This window comes from Homo sapiens, chromosome X, assembly GCF_000001405.40.
Source record: "Homo sapiens chromosome X, GRCh38.p14 Primary Assembly".
Taxonomy (NCBI): domain Eukaryota; kingdom Metazoa; phylum Chordata; class Mammalia; order Primates; family Hominidae; genus Homo; species Homo sapiens.
In genome coordinates, this window is record NC_000023.11 from 31099995 (window position 1) to 31123796 (window position 23802).

Here is a 23802-nt window from a genome sequence, read left to right on the forward strand (position 1 = left end):
AGGTCTGGCCTCAAAAGATGAGGACCTCCCAGGGGCCTCCAAAGATGCCCTGAGCCTGGGGATGGGCCTGCTGTTATCCACACCTTTTCCTCAACAAACCACCACCCATGAGACAGTTTCAAAGGGAACAGTGGACATGAATCCAACTACACAAACTTATTTATAAGGCTGAATTAGCTCATGTCTGCAAAGCACTTTGAGCAATTTGGATAGACTTCTTAAATTGTTTACCTAACGTATTACCTCACCTTTAAGTCAATTTCATAGAATGGGCTAAATACAGCTTCCATTAGAAAATAATCTTATCATGAGTTTTTTCAACATCTAATATGTATTATCATTGGTGGTTAAGTAAAGTCAGCTTGTTGAGGCAAGACCATTATTTTTCACATATTTTTCATAAATTTTCATTTACAAACTTTTAAGAATGGATTCTGATTTTTGTGCTAAAAAATTATGCCTGGTACAGACCATATTGTAATGAATACTTTTAGGCTGAAGGAATCAGTCATATTTTCAACATAAGGTAACCAGATGTCTTAATTATGTATGTGTGTGCATGTTTTAGCAAGTTTTATATTAGAATCTTAGCTCCCTGGATACAGATAGCCCCAATGTCCTCTAGGATCTCTGGCAAAAGAGTGCTTTAGGGGCACAAACTCTATGCCAGCTTCAGGTATGCATAGAATATTATAATGTGTGAAGTCACCACAGTGGTCAATTAAAAAAAAATCTGGTTACAAGGAAATCTGTTTCCTGCTACTCTGGCTGCTGCTTCAGCTTCAGTAAGGACAAAGTATGGTCTTCTCTCGTCCACTAATATGTAACCTAAGAGTTTCACAGTATTTGATCATTTATGAATGAGTTAGTTTGGGGGTTGGGAAGTATGGCTTGATAGATATAGTGTAGCTCTTTTTGTAATCAATGCACGATACAAACCAGTATTTAAGAACCCCTGGCTGGGCGCGGTGGCTCATGCCTGTAATCCCAGCACTTTGGGAGGCTGAGGTGGGTGGATCACTTGAGCTCAGGAGTTTGAGACCAGCCTGAGCAACATGGCAAAACCCTGTCTCTACAACAAATACAAAAATTAGCTGGACATGGTGGCACACACCCCTGGTCTCAGCTACTTGGGAGGCTGAAGTGGGAGGATAACTGAGCCCGGGGAGGTTGAGGGTGCAGTTAGCCATGATTTTCCCACTGTACTCCAGCTTTGGTGACAGAGTGAGACCTTGTCTCCAAAATAAACAAAAAAACCAAAAAGGATGGGCCCAGTGGCTCACACCTCTAATCCCAGCACTTTCACAAGCCAAGGCGGGTGGATCACTTGCTTGAACTCAAGAGTTCAAGACCAGCCTGGGCAACATGAAGAAACTCAGTCTCCACAAAAAAATACAAAAATTAGCCAGGAGTGGTGGCACACACTTGTGGTCACAGCTACTCAGGAGGCTGAGGTGAGAGGATCACTTGAGCCCAGGAGGCAGCCGTGAGCTGAGATTGTGCTACTGCCTCCAGCTTGGGAGACAGAGCAAGACCTTGTCTCAAAACAAAGAAAGAAAGAAAGAACTCCTAATGGGGGTTATGCTGGGATGGATGTTCACTGCCTTCAGGCCCACCAGGTCAGCAATTGAGGTTATATATACTTTTTGTAGTAGCCACTCTTTGCCCTGTTTCTGTATCAGTCAGATTTCTTAGTTGCAAACAACAGAACCCCTCTTGCTAGTTTAAGCTAGAAAAGAGATTTATTCAAGGGTACAGTCATCCCCCTATCCATGGTTTTGCTTTCTTGGTTTCAGTTGCCTGCAGTCAAATGTGGTCTGAAAATATTAAGTGAAAAATTCCTGAAATAAACAAATCATAAGTTAAATTGCACACTGTTCTGAGTAGCATGATGAAATCTCATGCAGTTCCACCTGGGATGTAAATCATCAGTATCCACACTGTGGACACTACCCACCCAACTAGTTACTTAGAAGTGTCTCAGTTCTCAGATTAACTGTTATAGTTGCTTGTGTTCAAGTCACCCTTATTTTACTTCATAATAGCCCCAAAGTGTGCAAGAGTAGTGATGCTGGCAATTTGGATATGCCAACGAGAAGCCACGAAGTGCTTTCTTTTAGTGAAAAGGTGAAACTTCTAGACTTAATAAGGAAAGAAAAAAATCCTATATACTGAGATTGCTAAAATCTATGATAAGAACAAATCTCCTATCTGTGAAATTGGGAGGAAGGAAAAGGAAATTCATGCTGGTTTCATTGTCGCACCTCAGACTGTAAGAGTTATCGCCACCGTGTGTGATAAGTGCTTAGTTAAGATGGAAGAGGCATTAAATTTGTGGATAGAAGACACGAACAGAAATGTGTTTCATGCTAATTGTGGTTTCAGGCATCTATTGGGGGGTCTTGGGATGTATTCCCCTGTGATAAGCAGATACTACTGTATTATAAAGTTCACATGCTCTCCACAGGGGCTGGAGTCCTTCAATAGAACTGCTTCAGTGGGAACAATGCTGCCACCATTTCTTAGGACAGGCAACTCTGATCACATCATTAGGCATTGGATGCAACTGCTAGGAACTCTGCCACTTGATGCTTCTAGAGACTGGGTGTATCGGTTGCTGCCCACATCATAATGGAGTCCAGGCAGTGCCTGCTTCTTTGGGTCACAAACTTCTGATTCAAACTCTGGCATAGGTGTGTCTCATTGGTAAAGGTTAGCATTCTATGTCTATATCCTTGTACCCTCTGCCTCCCTTAGCCTACAAACTCATCTCCTCTTCTATTTTGAATTGGTTATTCGCACGGATGAGAGAGAGAGAAAGAGAGAGAGAGACCATAAAACAAGGAGATCAAATTTTAGAAATTACAACAAAACCATTTTTACTTCTTTATCATCCCATCAGAAAGGCAATTTTAGACCTTCAAGTGCTTTTACTAACCGTTATACTTTCAGCTATTACTTTTGTTCCCAAGGAATGTATAAAACAGACATTCTTACCCTTAGAAAAAAACTGAGGTAGAGAAATTTCCAAGAATGATGCCAAAGCCAGAAATCAAAGAAAAATATTGAAAACCTTTACACTTCAAGAAAAAAACCATGTCCTTAATATAGCAGGATCTTTTACAAATCAATAAGAAAAATTTTAATACCACAGTAGACAAATGATCAGTGGATATGGACAAGTAATCTACAAAAGAAGAAAGGCAAATGTTCAGCAGCCTTATGAAAAGATAATCTAGCTACTAATTAAAAATGCAAACGAAAATAGCAAGTCATAATTTCCTCCCTTTTGGATTAGCAAACAGACCTAAGCCAATTTGGCAGTCCAGCCAATGTCAAGGTCCTTTAGTGAACATATTAAAGATGGGTGGTAGCTATACATACTTGCCCGCACAACCTTGTTAGCAGATGGTTTATTGCTATTAGGCTATGTTCTTCAAATTCTTTCAAACATACAAAAATTTATTAGCAAGCAAGTACAAAAGAGCGTAAAAGGCTTATTCTGTGGCAGATACTCCTCTATTCCTGATCACATGACTGGCTGGTTTTGTAGGTGTGTCAGAGTAGCAGAGTCTTGTTGATGTGGCAGGACCAACAGGGCTCCAGAGCTGGAATACTGCTTTAGTGGAATTATATCCACTGGGCTGGAATTTTATCTTGTTCATGTAAGGGCGGTAAAGCCTGTACAACATTCCTAGTGGGTCCCCTCCCTGGAACACCTCTCATCTCACGAATAAAAATATTTCTTCCCATTACTAAGTGCTAGGTCACCATCTCTGAAGGTGTTGGTTCTCAATTAGGGCCAATTAAATGATGTTTAAGTATTTCTAGATACTTCAAATGTAAACTCACACTCAAACTCCTAACTCCACACAGTATTACCTTGGGCACATACAGACATGCTGTCAACATAATCTGAAATAAGTGGAAACAGTCATTGCACATTGGCACTTTTCTGAAATGCAATTTGTCAATATGTATAACAATATCAAGTGCACATACTCTACAAATTAGTGATCCTACCTGTGGCATCTTATCCTAAGGAAGTAATTGAACACATGCAAAGATCTGTCCATGGATGTGTATGACTGTGTGGTTTTTCATAGTGCAAGATTGTAAACAATCAAAAGTTTGTTTGTAGGATAATGACACAAAGCAGCTCAGTGGTTCTTTGGTGACAGGAGTAGGGCCTGGGAATAGAAGGGATGAGATGGCAGGACTACAAAGGGCCAGAAGGAAACTTTTGGGGTGATAGATATATTCACTATTTTTGACTGTGGTGATCACTTTATGGGTGTATAGATATGTTAAAACCTTTCAAATTGTACACGTTAAATATATGCAGTTTATTGTATGTCAGTTATACCTTAAAGTTGTTTAAAATAGTTCTGTCGGTAGATATTGGATAAATAGTAGTAATGAGAAGAGTTATTGAGCACTTAATATGTGCCTGATATTGTGCCGGGTGTTCTGCAAATATTGTCTTTCTCTTTTCTTTTTCCTGCTCTGTTACCCAGGCTGGAGTGCAGTAGTGCGATTGCGGCTCACTGCAGTCTCGACCTCCTAGCTCAAGCGATCCCCACATCTCAGCCCCCTCAGTAGCGGGGACTACCAGCGCCTGCTACCACGCCTGGCTAATTATTTTATTTTCTGTAGAGACGAGGTCTTCCTGTGTCGCCCAGGCTGGTCTCAAACTCCTGGGCTCAAGAAATCTACCCACCTCAGGCTCCCAAAGTGCTGGGATTATAGGCGTGAGCCACCACGCCTGGCAATATTGTCTCTCTTGATTCTCACCCCAGCCCTTTGATTTTGTTATCCCTGTTTCTCACAGATGAGAAAACTGAGGTTTGAAGAACTTATATGACCTGCCCAAAGTCTCAGTCACAAAGTGGCTAAAGAGTAGGAGTTAACAAACAACAGCCCACTTGTCAAATCCAACCTGCCACTTAATTTTGTAAATAAAGTTGGACAGACATGACGCCTGTAATCCCAGCACTTTGGGAGGCTGATTTGGGAGGATCACTTGAGACCAGGAGTTTGAGACCAGCCTGGGCAACATGGACAAACCCTGTCTCTGCAAAAAACACAAGACTTAGGCAGGCATGGTGACGCACACCTTTAGTCCCAGCTACTTGGGAGGTTGAAGTGGGAGGATTGCTTGAGCCAGGGAGGTCAAGGCTGCAGTGAGCTGTGATTGTGCCACTGCACTCCAGCCTGCGCAACAGAGCAAGCCTCTGTCTCTAAAAATAAACAAATAAATATGTTTTATCGGAACACAGCCATGCACGTTTCTTTACCTAATGTATATGTCTGCTATGACATACATCAACAGAGTTGAGTAGTTTGTAATGTAAACTATGTAGCCCATGCGATGGTTAATTTTATGTGTCAACTTGGCCAGGCCTCAGTACCCATTCAGTTAAATATTATTCTAAATGTTTCTATGAAGATTTTTTTTAGATGGGACTAACATTTAAATCAGTAGACTTTAAGTAAAGCAGATTTTCCTCCATAGAGTGGGTGGGCCTCCTCCAATCAGTTTAGCATCTTAAGGGAAAAAGACTGCCCTCCCAGAGAAAGAAGGAATTCTTCCAGCAAGATACCCTTTAGACTTGAACTGCAACTCTTCCCTGGGTCTCCAGTGTGCTGGAATACCCTGCGAATTCTGAGCTTGCCAGCCTCCACAGTCACGTCAGCCAATTACTTAAACTAAATCAATCAATCTCCACATCTATATCTATATCTGTATCTATATATCTTGTTGGTTCTATTCATCTGAAGAACCCTGGTTAATATAACCCACAAAACTTAAAATATTTATTATTTGGCCTTTTACAGATAAAGTTTTCTGATCTCTGGCTAAGAGCTGGAATCTGAATCCAGACAATTTGAATTTACAGCTTAAGTTCTCAGCCACTACCCTACACTGCCTCATGGAACATCCAACTAGTGGAATACTCTGTGGCCATTAAAAGTTATGATACTAAACTAATGTGGTTTGAATATATCTGCCAAATTTCATGTGTTGGCAACTTAATTCCCAATGTGGTAGTATTGAAAAGTGGGGCCTCTAAGAGTTAATTGGATCATGAGGTCTCTGCCTCATAAATAGATCAATTTATTCTTGGACTAATGGGTTATTATGGGAGTGGAACTGGTCATTTTATAAGAGGAAGAGAGACCTGAACTAGCACATTAGCGTGCTCAGCCTCCTTGCCGTGTGATGCTCTGCACCACCTTAGGTCTCTGTAGAGAGTCCCCACCAGCAAGAAGTCTCTCACCAGACATAGTCTTTTGACCTGGGACTTCTCAGCTTCTATAACTGTAAGAAATAGCTTTTTCTTTATAAATTACCTAGTTTCAGATATCTGTTACAAGCAAAATAAAATGGATTAAGACAGGAAATTGGTACAGAGAGTAGGGTGTGGCTATAAAGATACCTGAAAATGTGGAAGTGGCCTTGGAACTGGGCAATGGGCAGAGATTGGAAGAGTTTGGAGGAGCAGGCCATAAAAATATTGTATCGTCATGAATGGCACATTGGGGGTTTATATTAGTCCGTTTTCACATTGCTGTAATTTATAAAGGAAAGAGGTTTAATTGACTCACGATTCCGCGTGGCTGGGGAGACCTCAGGAAACTTAACAATCATGGCAGAGTGTGAGAAGCAAGCACCTTCTTCGCAGGGTGGTAGAAGAGACAGAGAGCAAGAGGGGAACTGCCAAACACTTTTGAACCATCAGATCTTGGGAGAACTCACTCACTATCATGAGAATAGCATGGGGGAAACTGCCCCCATAATCCCATCACTTCCCACCAGGTCCTTCCCTGGACACATGGGGATTACAATTTGAGATGAGATTTGCATGGGGACACAGCCAAATCATATCAAGGTGATTCTGGTGAGGGCTCAGAAAAAGATAAAAACACGAGGGAAAGTTTACTACTTTTTAGAGATTGGCTAAGTGGTTGTGACCAAAATGCTGATAAAAATATGGACAGTAAAGGCCATTCTGATGATGAGGTCTCAGATGGAAATAAGGAGGAACTCACTGGAACCTGGAGCAAAGTGCGCACACATTGTACCATAGCAAAGAACTAGGATGTGTTGGCTAGGGCTCTTTGGAAGGTTGAACTTAAAAATGATGACCTAGGGTATCTGGTGGAAGAAATTTCTAAGCAGCAAAGGACTCAAAAAGTGGTGTGGTTACTTTTAACAGCTTACACTCAGTCGTGGCAACAGAAGAATGACCTAAAGGTGGAATTTATAATTAAAAGGGAAGCAAAGTGTATAAATTTGGAAATTTCAGAGCCTGGCCATGTGGTAGAGAATGAAAGAGCATTTTTAGGAGAGGAATCCAAAGGTGCAGCCCAGTGACTGCTTGCTAAAGAGATTAGCACATATAAAAGGAAACCAGGTGCTAATACTCAGAACAATGGAAAAAAGGGCCCTGAAGGCATTTCAGTGGTCTTTAAGATTGCCTATCCCATTATGAGGCCTATGAGGACAGAGTGATTTTGTGGACAGGCCTGGGGTGCTGCCTCGGGATGCTGCTACTCGTATCCTGGCCTTTGCAGAGAGTGCAAGTGGTAAGCCTTGATGGCTTTCCCACAGGGTTAAGTCTGCAGGGATCTAGAATGCAAGGGCCATGGGGGCTTGGCAACTTCCACCTAGATTTCAAAGGATGTATCTGAAAGCCTAGATGTCCAAGCAAAAGCTTGCAACAGGGACAGAACCACCATCGAGAGTACCCATGGGGGCACCACCTGGTAGAGCTGAGAGAGTAGAGCTGATGTGGGGACCCCAGAATTATAGAGCCACTAGCAGTGTGCCACCTCAGCCTAGAAAAACTCTTGCATTCGACTTCAACCTGAGAGAGCAGCCACATGGGCTGCATCCAGCAAAGCCATGGGGACAGCAGCGACATGGGCTGCATCCAGCAAAGCCATGGGGGCAGGGCTGCCCAAGGCCTTGGGATCCCAACTTTTGCTCCAGTGTGCCCAGGAAGCAGAACATTGACTAAAAGATTATTTTGGAGCTTTTATGATTTAATGTCTGCCCTGATGGGTTTCAGACTTAGGTGGGGCCTGTGCCTGTTACCCTTTCTTTTGACTAATTTCTCCCGTTTGGAATGGGAATGTTTACCCAGTGCTGGTACCACCAAAAAAACCAAGTTATTTACTTATATGATAAATACCACTTCTATTTATCATATAAGTAAATAACTTTATTTTATAGGCTTATAGCTAGAAGGAACTTGAGTTTCAGATGAAATTTGGACTTTGGATTTTTAAATTGGTGCTGGAACAAATTAAGACTTTGGGACTATTTGGATGGAATGATTATATGTTGCATGTGAGAAGGACATGAGTTTTGGGGTACCAAGGGTGAAATGCTATGGTCTCAATATGGTTTGTTTGTCCCCACCAAAACTCAAGTTGAAATTTGATCCCCAATGTGACAGTGTTGGGAGGCGTGGCCTAGTGGGAGGTGTTTGGGTTATGGAGGTGGATCCCTCATGAACACCTTGCTGCTGTTGTCATGGTAATGAGTTATCACTCTCATGAGGCTGAATTAGTTTTTGCAGGAACAGATCAGTTCCCTCAAGAGTGGGTCGTTATAAAGCCAGGACACTTTTAAGGGTATCCTCTTTGTACATGTCCACTTCCTTTTTGACCTCAGCCATTTTGTGATGCAGCACAAAAGCCCTTGCTAGAAACCAGGGCCATTGCCTTTGAACTTCTAAGCCTGCAGAGCCATGAGCTAAATAAATCTCTTTTCTTATAAATTACCCAGTCTCAAGTATTTTTATAGCAACACAGAATAGACTAGGACACAAACGATATGTATTACTTTAGAAAAATGTTCAGAATGCATTGTTAAAGAAAGCAGGTTACACCTTCATTTCTGTTTTTATCACATTTCTCTTAGAAAAAGTATGCGTGGGGAAAGTTGTGGAAACATATACACTGAATATGTTAACAGCAGTTTTCTCCAGGCAGTGGATAATGGGTGATTTTTACTTTTCCTTTGTAAGTCCATGTATTTTCTGTATATTTCACAATGAGCATATAAATGGAAGGAGGAAAACAACAAAGAAATTTTTATTTTGAAAATAGAGAATGATTTGCTTTTTTTATACTGCCTGCATGTCAAAATGTCCAGGTCAATGCAGCTCCATCAAAATGTCCTTGATGACAAAACAGTGGCAGCCATGTAGTAGTCACAGCCTTCTCCTTGTGTCCTGCTAGTTCACTTTTCATGCAGCAGGCAATCTGAGTGGTCTTTCAAAAGCACCCATCTGGTCTTGTTACTCATGTGCTTAAATTTTTAGTACGTTCCCATTTAAGGCCCAAATTGTTATCAGCATGGCAGACAGCGCCTTCTAAGAACTGCTTCCCCCTTTCTTAGTCCACCAAGAACTAGGAGTTCTTCCCACTCTGTTGTAGCCACAATCTGTAGTTCCTGAAAGGGCCCCGGTACTTATTTCAGTCTGATTACAGTTCATTATTGCCACTGAGAGAAATAACTAGAAACTAGATCTAATCATCTAATCTTTCTTTTTTTTTTTTTAAGTGCCTATAATGGTGCCTACCACAGATTGGCAAAATATTTTCTGGATGAAAGATGAGTAAATGTATGGAGTGAAGAACCTCTGTTATGACTATTAATGAGTTTTCAGTGGCTAGAGAGGTGCCATTGAAGTCTTGGAGCTGTTACTCTATGAACATTGTTCTTCAGTTGCATTTTGAGTTGGGTTGACTAGAGAAGCTAATAATAATATATAACATAATTTGAATACAAAAGTGTATTTTAAGTTCTTTTTCTCTATGTCAAGACTGGCTAGACGTTTGCCAATACATTTCCTTTACCTGAGCACCCAGAAAGACTATATTTCCTAGCCTTCCTTGCAGTTAGATTGGGAAATTGTGATTGAATTCTGGCTGATGAGAATTTGAACAGATATGATCTGTCCCTTCCACAAGTCTACCTTCTGTATATTCTCATTTCTGGTCCATGTGGCTGGACTGGAAGGCCTCCAAAATGGTGGATTTGTAAGAATGAAGAAGCCTGGCTTCTGGGCAGTGAAGTGGATGAGAAATAAACCTTTGTTGGGTTTAGTGACTGAGATTTTGGGGTCTACTTGTTATTGTAGCAAAATTTAACTTCTCCTAACTGCATCATCTTCCAAAGAAACTTTTGTAACTATACTTGGTTTTGAGTTGGGCAGGACTTATATGGTCACTTTAATTTGACACTTCAGAATGCGTATTAGATATGCAGATAAGCATATTTCCTTATTCAGCTTCTTCATTTTGAATTTTCCAAACGATTTGAAACAGAAACATGGAGTAAGATAATGACTATTCAGTAGAAAGCAAAAAATAGTACAGAACACAAATAACTCACAATTAGCATAACAATTCTTACTATAAATATGAATCTTTCATTTCTTCTCTATTTTTTCATAGTTTAGAAATCTGCTATGTTTAATAGAAAGTTCCAAATATGCTGCCTTTTTGATGAAGAAGGGTTGTACAAATCTGTCAAACACACAAATATGTGCTTAATTTATTGATTAATTTATGTAAGAATTAAATTCAACCAAAAAGTGACTAAGATCTACTACGTATGTTTTGTTGTACAGCAATGTTCTTTTTGGTTGGTATTCAGATAGGGATGTTGGTGGACTCAGGCTGCTTGTAGTAATGCATGTCTGTTAATAATCTTTGCTAAATGTGGCCAGAAATGTGGAATTTTTTATTGGCAATTATAATCCTTGGGCTGCGTATAACTTTATTAGACATCTGGCTGCCAATTCTGTATAGTATCTTTTCATGACCATCGTACGCTGCAGGGAGCGTTAATTTACTCTGAAGACCAGATTAATTGGAAAGATCTTTTCCAAACAAAACACGTGAAAGAATATTAACGTAGTGCTTGCAAATGTAATTATTTGATTCAGTGTAGGGATTTTCTCTTTAAAATTTTGCCTGATTTCTCCATGTTTGATTAGGACACCTTCCTTGTGCTACTGCTTTAGCTTGCATGAGTCATATATCATGACCTATGGCAAATATTTCTCACCTGTCTCCTCTAGCAGACTGTGAGGTACAAAACAGGACACACAGATCCCCTTTTAACTTAATATCCTAAGTGCCTGGCCTGAAGTAGAAACTGAGTGAATGCTTAGTTAATGAATATTGACACTATTGTTTAAACTGTTGTGATTTTAGAATCAGAAAAAACCACTTAAATACCTATTTTACAGTTACAATTTTTGATGACTTGTATCATCACACATATATGAACAGATCAGGTTTTGTATCACTACGTCAGTTTTAGAATCATGGTACCATTTTAGGATGCCAAAAATTTTTCAGAGAAACATGGTAGGAGGCTAGGATATTGAGGAAAAACTTAAGGAAGAATCTGTCATCACTTTAAAGGCACAGGTTTTGACCTGTGTTTAAGCAAAATGCCAGAATGGGGCATCGGTGCTACCTGTTGTATAACATGGAGCAGAAGGTCCTATCATATGTTAAAAAGGCCAGGCTTAGACAAGCCATTCAGCCAAACAAGACAGCAAAAGACAAGCTAAAGGATTAGAGGAAGGCCGGGCGTGGTGGCTCACGCCTGTAATCCCAGCACTTTGAGAGGCCGAGGTGGGCGGATCCCCTGAGGTCAGGAGTTCGAGACCAGCCTGGCCAATATGGTGAAACCCCATCTCTACTAAAAATAAGAAAATTAGCTGGGCGTGGTGGCAGATGCCTGTAATCCCAGCTACTCAGGAGGCTGAGGCAGGAGAATCGCTTGAACCTGGGAGGTGGAGGTTGCAGTGAGCTGAGATCGTGCCATTGCACTCCAGCCTGGGTGACAGAGTGACACCCTGTCTCACAAAAAAAAAAAAAAAAAAAAAAAAAAAAAAAAAAAAAGGATCAGAGGAAGGAAAGGTTGGTAATGAAGCCATTTTACATTCTTGTTTTAGCTTTTACCTTGCCCACATTACTATTATATAGGACCAGACTTGAAGGGGAATCTGTCCTTCTATAAAAGCTTCCAGAGGAAGATGAATCCACTGCATTCAGAATTTAGCCAGGGTGGTTGTTATTGAATTCTTTCTTGTATAGCATCCCAAATTCTTCAAGCTATGCTTTAAACTCCTTTTCTTTGATTCTCTCTTCAGAAGAAGTGGGGAACAACTGGTCATCACCTTCAATGTAAGATGTTAAATCACCTCACAGTTTTATTTTTTTCCCCTTGTATATGAAATTTCAGTTCTCTTATTTATTTCTTTTAGGGTCTTATTTCTTAAACAGCCATATCTCTGACTCTCTGCTGGAATGTCCCTGAGCTGTCTTATTCATCCCAGAGTTCTGAACACCACCCGTAAAAAGAACATGACTAATGCCTAGGAAAGAAAAGTTAGAATATGAAATCCCCAAGTGTCACTTTTCCTGTGTACTTTATTGTCTCCTCCCTAGTTCAGCCATTCACTCTGAAAACATCCTTTGGGCCAGGAGTCCTAGGTGCTCTGGACTATAATATAGTGAGCAAGCTGACCCAAATTCCTATCCTCCCTAACTTTACATTCTAGTTAGAGGAGACAGATGAAACACAAAATATACAAGTAAAGAATCATTGTATGCCAGCTGGTAATAAATGTGGTGTAGAATAATAGAGCTGGGACAGGGAAGGGTAGTGTTGGGAGTTGCAGTTCTAAATACTGGCTAGGAGAGGTCTGACTGAGAAGGTGTTTTGAGTAAAGACTTCAAGGAAATGAGGAAGCCAACGAAACAGGCAGCTAGGGTAGAGCATGCTGAGTGGAAAAAAACAGCAAGCATGAAGGCTTTGAGGTCAGAACTGGCTGGTGTGTTAGAGAAACAATAAAGCGTCAGGTACATGGATGGAGCAGAGTGAAGGAGAGGAAGGGTAGCAAGGAGGAAGACAGAGAGGTATGGGTCAGATCGTGTAGGAACCCCTCGAGCTCTAGAATAACTTTGGCTTTTATTTTGGGATGGGAAGCCATTGGTTGATTTTAAGCCAATGAGTGACAAGACCTTATTATGCCTTAACATAATAAGGCTGCTGTGTTGAGGATAGACTGAAGGAAGGAAGGGTAGAAGTTGGGAGGCCAGCTAAATGCTATTGTGATGATTTGGCAGCACAGTGATTATGATATCTCGGACCAGTGCAGTGAAAGTAGAGATGAGGACAAGTGGCCAGGTTCTAATCTGTTTTAAAGGGTAGGCCAGTTGAATTTGCTGATGCTATGGTTGTGGGTGCAAAAGAAAAGGAGTCAAGAGTATTTAAGGTTTTTGACCTGAGCAACTGGAAGGATAGGCTTGCCATGAACGGCTTGGGGAGAGAATATTTTAGATAGTGATGGGAGGTGGTGGCAGTGGGTTGATCAGGAGCTTGCTCTTAGATATGACAAGTTAGAGAAGACTATTAGACCTTTAAGTGGAGCTGTTGAGGAAGCTGCTGGATCTACAAGTCGGGAGTTCATGGGTGAAGTTCTGGTTAGAGATACAAATCGTGGAGTCATCATCATGCAGAAGGTATTTGTAGCCCTGAGACCGAATGAGACTACCAAGGTGGCAAGTGTAAACATAAATGAAAAGAGGTCCAAGAACTGAGCCTTAGGGCATACCAATGTTAACAGGTCGGGGATAGACTGTAAAAAATGTAAGCACATACGCATGAACATTACACATAAGCATTTTGGTGAAAGCAACCTTGAGTGAGTAAACTTTGGAGAAGCAGGCTGTTTCGACTTAGGATGGAGGAAAGAAAGGATGCTGATGTGTGGAACGTGACTGTTGCCATGAAACCTTGAACAATAAGAATGCAGCAGTGAGCTGGCTGTGGTTCAGCTACTCAGGAGGCTGAGGCAGGAGAATGGGAGGATTCCTTGAACCCAGGAGTTTGAGTTCCGCCTGGGCAACATAGTGAGACTTCGTCTCTAAATTTCTTTTTTTAAAGCAGACCAACTTTTAGCAACAATGTATTGTATATTTAAAAGTAGCTAAGTGAGAACTTAAAATGTTCCCAACACATATCAATGATTAACTTAAGGTTGTGGACACACCAAATACCCTGACTTGATTATTACACATTCTATGCATATAACAAAATCTCACATGTAGCCCCATAAAGATGTAAAATATTGTATATCATTTTTTTTTTTATTTTAAAAACAATGCAGCAGTGAGTGAAGAAGGCTAGGCTCGCAGTTCCAAGCAGTTGGAAGGGGCAGTCTGGCTGTAGTAAGCAGCAGGATGGAGAAAGAGGTAGAATGACTTAGGTTACTCTTTTGTTTCACAACTCTCTCAGTGAAACAAACAGCAATGTTTTAGACCGGACTCCCTGGAAGCAGCCTTTGAGATGGAGCACTCTCTGCAGAAGGTTTACTGGGGGCAGGGGTGCTCATAACAGAGACACCTGAAGAAAGTGAGAAGGCAGGAGGGGCAGAGGAGAAGCTGAACTGTGAAGTGATTACAACTAAGACCTTGGTGGATTCCAGGTGGTGCTCCAGAGCTGGGATGGCCCTTCAGAATTGTCCCAAATTGAGGCAAGGGGACTGGGTTTTTGTTTCTCTACATCAGCCAGTATTGGCCCAGGCGATTTCCCTGTGACAGGTGGTGTTACCTTGGGCAAGGCAGTTCTCTGTTCTGACAGTTCGGGGGGGGGGGGGGGTGTCCGGAGAGGGACACAGTTGTGAGCCATCAGCAGCTGATATTCCCAGAAGCGAGGGCATGGATGCACTGTCTCTGAAGACAAGAGGGGATGTGGCTGGGGTGTATCTACAAGCTCAAAACGCACCAAGAGTCCAGATGTTACATTTAAATGAATGCAAATGAATGGGGATAGCTTCTTTCTCTACTGTCGAAAAATACTTTTATTTGCTGGCTTTTATCTCATGGTCAATGTTTTCAGCTAGCGTAGTATCATTAAATTACTTTAGAGAAGTGACTGGAGGGCTGGACAAAATAGGAAAAGTATGCAAGAACTAATGCCATTAAAATATCTCTAAGAGCTGGAGCTTGCCAGTTAGGGAGAGTATGAAAAGAACACAGCCTGTATTCAGGCAGTAAAGAGAATCAGCAATTTTCTACTGCTTCCCTAGGAGGCATTTGGGAATGTATTGAGGCAGGTTTGTCATCAAAATGACTGGGAGAACTACAAAGTGAGGGACAGTTGTGCATAATGAAGAATTGTCCCAACCCAAATACCAACAACATTTCTATTGAGAAACAGTGTGTTTGAAAGACATTAGGTGTACCTACTAAGAAGGGCATTTTTGAGATTGAAAGGGTGCTATTGATAATGATGTCATGATGAAAGATGTAGCCATCAATGAAGCAGGCACACTAGGACTTAGGGGAGTCCTAGTATAGGAGCTTGCAGCTACCCACACAGGTATAAAGGGGGAAATTGAACCCAGGAACACAGGGTGTGAAATCAATCGTATCTGGAAAGTACAGGCTTGGAGTCCCCCAATTGTCGTACTGACTTTAAAAAGGAATTGAGTGCTTATCCTTCTGTGGCATCAAAAGAGTTACTCAGTCCAGTCACAAATTTTTGGCTGATAAAAATTGTCAACATGCCCAGGATGCTTAATTTTAGTATGGATAGGAATTGTTGAGCCAGTAACCTCAACTCTTGTTGTGATGATAAAAGTATTCTCTTCGTGCAGAGTTTCCCAAATGTTTTCACGTTGTGGCACACAGATACATTTATTATCAATTGAAGGGCATCCTTGATTAACTGCAGGAGGCTGAAGGCTACAGACCTCATGTGGCCACCCTCAAAACTATGAGATTCAAAGACTTTAACACACCTGGGTCACATTTTAATATACACCTTATCAAATAAGTCTTGAAAGCCTAGGAAGTTTTAAAATGAAACAAAGAGATGGTGGAGTAAACCTAACCCTTGGTTTTAATACTTTTATGTTGAATTTAGGCATAATCTGTGTTCGTTTAAAGTGCTTAAGATGTTTGTGGCAATTTGACATATTAGCAAATTGGAGAGATGTCTTAGGTTCCAATGTAAAATGTGTAATTTTACACATGTTATTATTTCAAAATGAATAAAAAAAGTTGGACTCAGCTCATACAGTATATGCTATTGGAATGTTTCAGAGGACTTGAGATTCACTATATTTATATGTTTGTCTCGATATATGTGAGTTAGGTATGGTGGAGGTGCTGTTGGTTGGCGTTGGTCTTCCCTGTGAGATATTAGATAGGCTTGAAAATAAAGCACATTAAGTGTATAAATACAGCTTAGAACGAAAAAATTCAGACTACTCAACGTGGCTAAGTCTGCTCACTAAAAGTGACTGTTCTTACTTCATACAAATTGTCTACATTTATATATCTAAAAATGAAATTTCTAAGTTGAACCTAAAGATTTATGAAAACTTAGGTTTTAAAATGTATACCAAGTGGAGAAACCTGGCAGACACCACCTTTACCAAATGATCAGTGTTAACAGCACCAAGAATGGGAATATGCCTCCTGGTATCACATGCTGAGGACACATCATTGTTTGTGTAGTATTCCTGACAAAAATGCATACCCTGAATCTAAACCATGAGAACACATCAGACAAACCCAAATTGATGCACATCCTACAAAGTAACTGTCTTGTACTCTTAAAAATGTGAAGGTCTTTGAAGACAGAGAAAGGCAGAGACACTGTTCCGGATCAAAGGTGATTAAAGAGATATGACAACTAAATGTCATGAAATCATGAATTAGAGTCCAGACTAGGGAAATATATATAATGATGAAAGACATCATTGGCACAATTGACAATATTTGGTTGAATATGGACTGTGGAGTAGATGATAGCTATATATAATTTTTTTATTTTGATAATTGTACTATGGTTATACAAGAGACTGTCCTAGATATTAGGAAATGTACATGATGTATTTAAATGTAAGGAGGCATGATGTCTACAACTTATTCTTAAAATGGTTCAGGAAAAACTATCATCTATTCATTGAGAGAACGATAAAGTAAATGAAGCAAAATGTAAACAATTCATTAACCTGGGTAAAGGGTATATGTGGGTTCTTTCTTTGTACTGTTCTTGCAATTTTTCTTTTGTTTCAGTTTTTCTTGTTTGAATTATTTCAAAATAAAGTTATGGAAGAGCTAAAATCCTGAATGTATATAAAATACACACATGTACATACACACATATGTACATATAACATTTAAACCTCAAGTTACTGTAGGTAACCTTTTCTGTACACAAAAGCTACTCTCAAACAAACATCCCCAAACTTTACACATTCACACAATATTGTTTATTATGGAATGTTGGGCATGCTGCCACTCTTGTGTTGTCAGCTAAGTCCATGAGATCACAGTACACTGACGTGCAAGGGGCATTGAAGAACATATTTATAGTTCCTACTCCAATGGCTTTGCTACTGTGGGAAAGAATTTGATTTGTGTCCTTCCTACACTTAATTTGAAGGCAAAGTCTTTGCAAGTGCGCCAGTGCCTGCCTTTGTATTCATTCCACCATTAGAGCATTACAAATTCAGGGAAATCCCATCGCAGCTCTACAGAACACATCCATTAGTCTTGGTGCTTTCTCCCAAACAAACACACATTTTGCTTGCCGGTGCATAATCTGTGCCAGCTCGATTCATTTTAATTTTTAACTGAATTAATTCTGTCTCTTCTAGTGTGTGCCAAGTATGGAATGGAAAACCAAATGCCCTCCTCAGAGTCATCCACACACAGTTGTCTTAGACGTGGTGAAGTATTGAAGATTCCTCAGTTACCTCCTTAAGTGTCACCAAAACAGCCAGTCTGGGTGTTTCAAACAAAGGTAGGTTCGGGTAATGGTGGGAAGGATAAATGATTTGTTTATTTAAATAGGATGAAAATTTTTCTTGGTATGTGTGGATGTCAAGGGAAGTGTTTCAATGTGGTAGTCACTTAGGTCAGCATCATCACCCTACTTTCAAAAAATTAGCAAGTGATTGATTCACAGCAGAGATGCCACATCTACTAACAAACATCATTTCTAATGAGATGGATCATCTCATCTCCTATTATTTCCAAAATCACTAGGATAGGCTGCACCTGGTGGACTTATGTTATTCCTTTGGCTCACCAGTATCTGAACACTGTTGGGGAACCCCGCCCACCCCATCCATGAACCTTGGGAATAGGTAAAGATAGATAGCCTCTCCCTAAGAAGTGCTGACATTGCTACCCACTTTCTCAGCTTCCTTTGCAGCTAGGGCAAGAAACAGAGCAGGGCAGGGGCAAAGGAGAGGTTCTCCCCATGGTGGTGGTTGACTATGGTAAGGGATTCTTCTTCCCCAGAACCAGTTGTGAGACATCATTTTAGGTGTCTCTTTCTTACTACTCACTCATGCATCCTCTTAGATGGTGACATTAAGAATAGAAGTGATATGAAATTCTCTTGAGAAGCAAAGTATGAACTGCAAACTGACTTAATTAATATACTTGTCATTATTAAAACAAAAAACACAACAAACAAACAAACACTATGACTATCAATCAATCAATCACTGCACAAAATGTATCATCTCCCAGTCTACAAATGCTTACCCCCTTTGATCCAGCAATCTCACTTCTAGGAAGTATCCCACAGATTTGTTTGTTTATGCACAAATGAAATGATGTAATGAGAAATGTGCAATATTGTTTGTTATAGCAAAAGAAAGACTGACAACAGACTACATATCCCACCAAAGGGAACTGCTTAAATAAAATATCCTATGAACATATAATGAAATATTATACAGCTATAAAAAAGAATGAGAAAGCATTTTATATATTTAAATGAAAAGATTTCTTGAGTCCATATTTAAATTTAAACAAACAAACAAGTAAGGTGCATAACTGGGTGCAGAGAATGCTATATCCTATGAAATAATAATAGGAAAAAAATAAATAGGAACATATATATTATTTTAACTGCTTATATAATAATTAATAAAGAAAGACCCTCTGGAAGACTAAATAAGAAATTAATAATGTCTACTCATAGAGCAATGAGGATGATTGATTGATATGGGGGAAGGGGTAGTTAGGAGTGTTTTCACTGTCTTTCTGGATTATAGTTTTTTACTCATATGCATGTATTACCTATTTAAAAAGTAAGTAAGTAAGTAACAACAACTAAATTAAAATAAAAACAAAGTACTGCAGTCCAGTCAATACTTTTTTGTAACATAACTGCGTGCTTTATTGAGATACACAGTAAAGCAGTACTATAATACAATAGTAAGGCATATATTTGGTGAAGTCTGATATGTTGTGAAAATGCAGTAAAACTGAAGTTTAAAAAAATAATTCGTAAATGTTACAGTGTTGGTGTTAAAACACAATATATTATGATACTCAAGTAAGAACTCAGTACCTGAAAACAATGACAAAACATGCCATGTGATGTTTATGCTTCAGTTACATTATGATTTACAGTTTAATACTTGGTGGTTATAAAGAACACAACACGAAATAATGTCCAAATTAATTATGCTTAAAATGCAGCAATAAAGCTCTCAATTTTTGTTCAAATATTATGACAGACTCACTCCAGAGCTAATGTGTCTAAAAGAAAAACAAAAAGATTAAAACAAAATTATTTATGCACTCTATTTACCTCTGATTTTAGAATGAAACTTACTTACTTAAACTTCTTAGTAGGATGTAAAGTAACCCCTTGTTTTAAATCTGAGTTTTAAAAATCCTTGGGTAAAGAAAAGGTCCAGCGTCACATAAAGGAAAAAAATGCAAGACAAAAACCAAATCTTCATGTAATTTGGTAATTTGTTACCTTAGAGCTTTGGGTTTTCTTTTGAAAATTATGAAGGAAAAAGAAAGAATTATAAAGGAAAAAGAAAATAACGCAATGGACAAGTGGTGAAGCTGTGAACTCAGGTGTGCACAATTATCAGGAACACCCCAAAACCAAAGTGAGGTAGAAATAGCATGAGAAGCCGTGTTTGATGTTAATTAATTAATTATTAATAATGGACAAAACCCACTCTCCAAAAGCTAATTACACTTGATGTCAGCCCACTCTCCAAAAGCTAATTACACTTGATGTCAGAGGTAACAGATTTGCAAAATTATAGGTCACACGGTGGTATCTATTGAATGAATGATTTAAAAATCAAAAAGAAATAAAATGGCATGAAAGAGTAAAGCTTTTTCCTACCAGTCCTTAGCTTTTCCTCTTGAGCTTTTCTCCTCTTTTTTGAGCAATTTTTGTTTGTTTGTTTATATATTTAACCTGTCTAATCCACCAAGAAGGGTTTTTTTGTAACATTTGAATCAATTTGCCTTCTTTCTTACTTACTTACAAACCTGTGTGGAACTACTCGCAGAGAAATGCAAAGGATGGAAACACAGTTCATGGGCTTCTGGGTTGATACCTGTCAGTATCACAAATGTGATGGGGCTACTGTTTTACACCTTTTCCCAAAGTTTATTTATTTTAAATTATGTCTTGTGGCATTTAAAAACTCATCCCACATGGGACAATAAATCTAAAAAAGCAACAAAAACCAAACCACCCAGTTCCTTTTGACTGTGAGAAGAGGGCATAATAATTTAGTTGTAATTACAGAGAACTTTATGTATTATGAACAATCATCCAATCCTTCACTTAAAGAGTGGCCTACTCCTTCACAGGGATGGGCTGGGAATCCATAGCCCTCCAGCCCTATCATCGTCCTGCTACTGCTTGGGAGTTAAAAAATACCTTCTGATGTTCACAAGGTCAGAATACCTTCTGATTGATTTCCACTGAAGCATCATTAAATCTAAATCGTGGCATTGCTAGCAGCAGGAAGCTGAATGTATCAATCAATCAATCAATCAACCAACCAACCGATTACTCACTCTGATATAATAAGTCCTGTGTATTCATTCACATGTTCCCTTTAAAAAAATCCAATACTTTACTTTACTTTCGTTGTCAGTGGAAAGTTGTTTAAAATGAGAAACATCTGGAGCTGTAGACAATGTTTTAGTGTGGTGTAGTTTCCTCCTGGCTTCCGGCTCCGGGAAAAATCCATTCTAGACCAAGCAGGTAAGCCTGGATGACTGACTAGAAGTAATTTCTTTCTATTAGGATGTGACATGAACATTTAAAAAATGGAAAAAGTCAGTCTATAGAAATTCGTATCTCTTTATCTATATAACTATAGTATTTATATACTTATAGACATATAGATATATGAAATGAAAACTCAAGCCTGCCCCACTCAGCTGACAGTTCTCAAATGAGCAGTGTGTAGTAGTCATTTGGTGTGGTGGTAGAGGAAGTCTTATCTTTAATATGCAAAAAAAGAAAAAGCCATGAATTTCATATGGATATCACGCCAAAAGGATGCAAAACAATGCGCTGCCTCAAAGTTTTGTGTGTGTGTGTGTATGTGTGTGTGTGTGTGTTTGTTTTGTTTTTAGGGGTTTTTATAAACAACTTTTTTTTATAAAGCACACTTTAGTTTACAATCTTTCTTTATAACTGTTATAAATTTTTAAACAACCCAAAATGCGTTCCATATAAAGAAATGGCAAGTTATTTAGCTATCAAGATTTTACATGTAGTTTTCTTATAACTTTTTTGTACAATTGCATAGACGTGTAAAACCTGCCATTGTTAACAAAACAATAACAGACTTAGAAACTACTGAAATCTACAGTATAATACCACTACCCTTCACAAAAATATAGATTTATTTCTTGTAAACTCTTACTGTCTAATCCTCTTTGTTGTATGAATATTATAAAAACCATGCGGGAATCAGGAGTTGTAAAACATTTATTCTGCTCCTTCTTCATCTGTCATGACTGATACTAAGGACTCCATCGCTCTGCCCAAATCATCTGCCATGTGGAAAAGACTTCCTACATTGTGTCCTGGAAAACAAAGAGAAAGAAAGACAGACTTTACAAAAGGTGCAGATAGATAGCATCACTCTGTTTCTTTGCCATTTGGGAAATCATTCCCCATTTCTGGGTGAAGACAACACAGAAGCTGCATCGAGGGTGTACACAACAAGGTTTGATTTTTCACCAGTTTCCAGGAAGAAGCAAAGCCTTATTAATGAAGCCATTACACGTTGTTTGTTAGTATCAGCTTAATGTTGGATCAGGCTACTGGTGTTTACATGGAAAAATGTCAAGCTACATTCAGGTTCCCAATGTAAATATATATCAAAAGAATTCCATAGATAAGCACAAGATTTCTATCAGAACAGGAATATTCCATGATGGGATACATCTTTTCCACCTTGGCTATGAGTGATTGATTGATTACTTACTCTCTACTTGTATTAACGAACATTTTTTTTACTATCAATCAAACCACCATCACCACCTTCACAACTACCACTACCATCACCAGCACCCAACCATCGTCACCATTATCACTGCCACCATCACCGCCACACCAACTTTTCATTTCAAAGCTGTTTCAGGCTGTTGGCTTGCTTCTGAGGCTATGGTGGAGGTGGCTATTTTCTCTCTGCTTTTACTTGGGTTGAAAAATAATAATAATAAACTCTTGAATTGACCTTTTGGTGCACTATTAACATTTGAATTAGGAAACCTCAGAATAAAAATTGCTTTACATTCCAAATTACTCTAGACCCTAATTATAAGGTGACCCACATGTATTGTATGCATTTGGGTATTTTGTGAATCCATCTTAGAGCTCCTCCTAAATGAGGGTTAACTATCACAATAGCCTTTTACTAATAATGCAGCACGACCTAGCACGAATCTCCCAGCACGGAGAAAAAGAACAGCACAATGTCCCTGGGTACTTCGTAGCAAAATTCAGATTTAGAGTAAGATAATCTGAGACTTACTTTATGGCTTGCCTTTTCGTCTATGTCCCATAGTTTTACATGGCTAATTTTAATTATTGCACATTGGTAAATCCTTCCACTATTCAAGTATTGTCTTTGGAACTGAAATGCTTTACTAGGCTATTACTACCTTGCCATGTATCAACTTTACAGATTCCCATAATAATTGTTAAAAATACCAATAAAAATTAAAGATATCCCAATAAAAATTAAAGCTATAGACTAGGGAGAGTATTTTGTTTTAATATTTATTTCAAGAGATATAGCTTCTCTACAAAATGAAGCGGATTCACGGGCAGGCACTTAAACAGTGATGGCACCAGATCAACTGAAGACTTACTTATTAAAAGTTTAATGTCATTCAGGCATTTCTATTAAGGTGACCAAGTTTGTATATCTATCTTTTTGTGCTTTATTAGTGCAAAGAATTTCATGGAGTATTAATTATATTTTAGAAAATCACTTTGGATTTTGGCTGAGACTGCAAGTATAAAAATTTTTTAACAAAGCATATGCAACTATTCATAAAGTGGGCCAATAGTTTGGCAGCCCTCAGTGAAGAACTGAAATCATTTTTGGCTTTCTGTGCCATAAAAACCACAGGAAGACGACACAGTGGGGCCTTTGCTGCTCCTTAGAGCTCAGAGTACAAATATATAACTGCTGCTATCAAGTTGGAGGGCTTCCCCTGTATCTATTTTTGGCTGTCCAGCAACCCTGGGAAATCTGCATAATTATTCATGCATAAATTGAAGATAGATGGACTAACTGCCAATTTTTAATTACTAGCGATCTTTACGGTTAACAAAATCAGTAAAAACAAAGTCCAGGACCTTTACAACATGGTGCCTGAATGTAATTCGAAGTATTTCTCATGGCCCACATGTGACTATAGTATGTAGTCCACCTAGTA

At 39.1% G+C, this 23802-nt stretch overlaps 1 protein-coding gene across 24 annotated transcripts in view, besides 1 other annotated feature; it reads right to left on the reverse strand.

The window, feature by feature from the left end:
• Positions 1-80: an enhancer, noted in NCBI's record as "active region_29512". NCBI's record gives its function as "activates an Ori minimal core promoter by ATAC-STARR-seq in GM12878 lymphoblastoid cells {active_cell/tissue: GM12878}" and the evidence as "EXISTENCE:reporter gene assay evidence [ECO:0000049][PMID:35858748]".
• Positions 19228-23802, reverse strand: part of DMD (dystrophin) — a 2220167-nt gene continuing 2215592 nt past the window's right edge. For 22 of the 24 annotated variants that reach the window (XM_006724469.4, NM_000109.4, XM_011545467.2 and 19 more), the window contains one exon: positions 19228-21936. In XM_006724469.4, coding sequence (XP_006724532.1) covers positions 21839-21936 — 98 coding nt within the window. In that variant the 3' untranslated portion in view covers positions 19228-21838. 24 annotated transcript variants of the gene reach the window in all.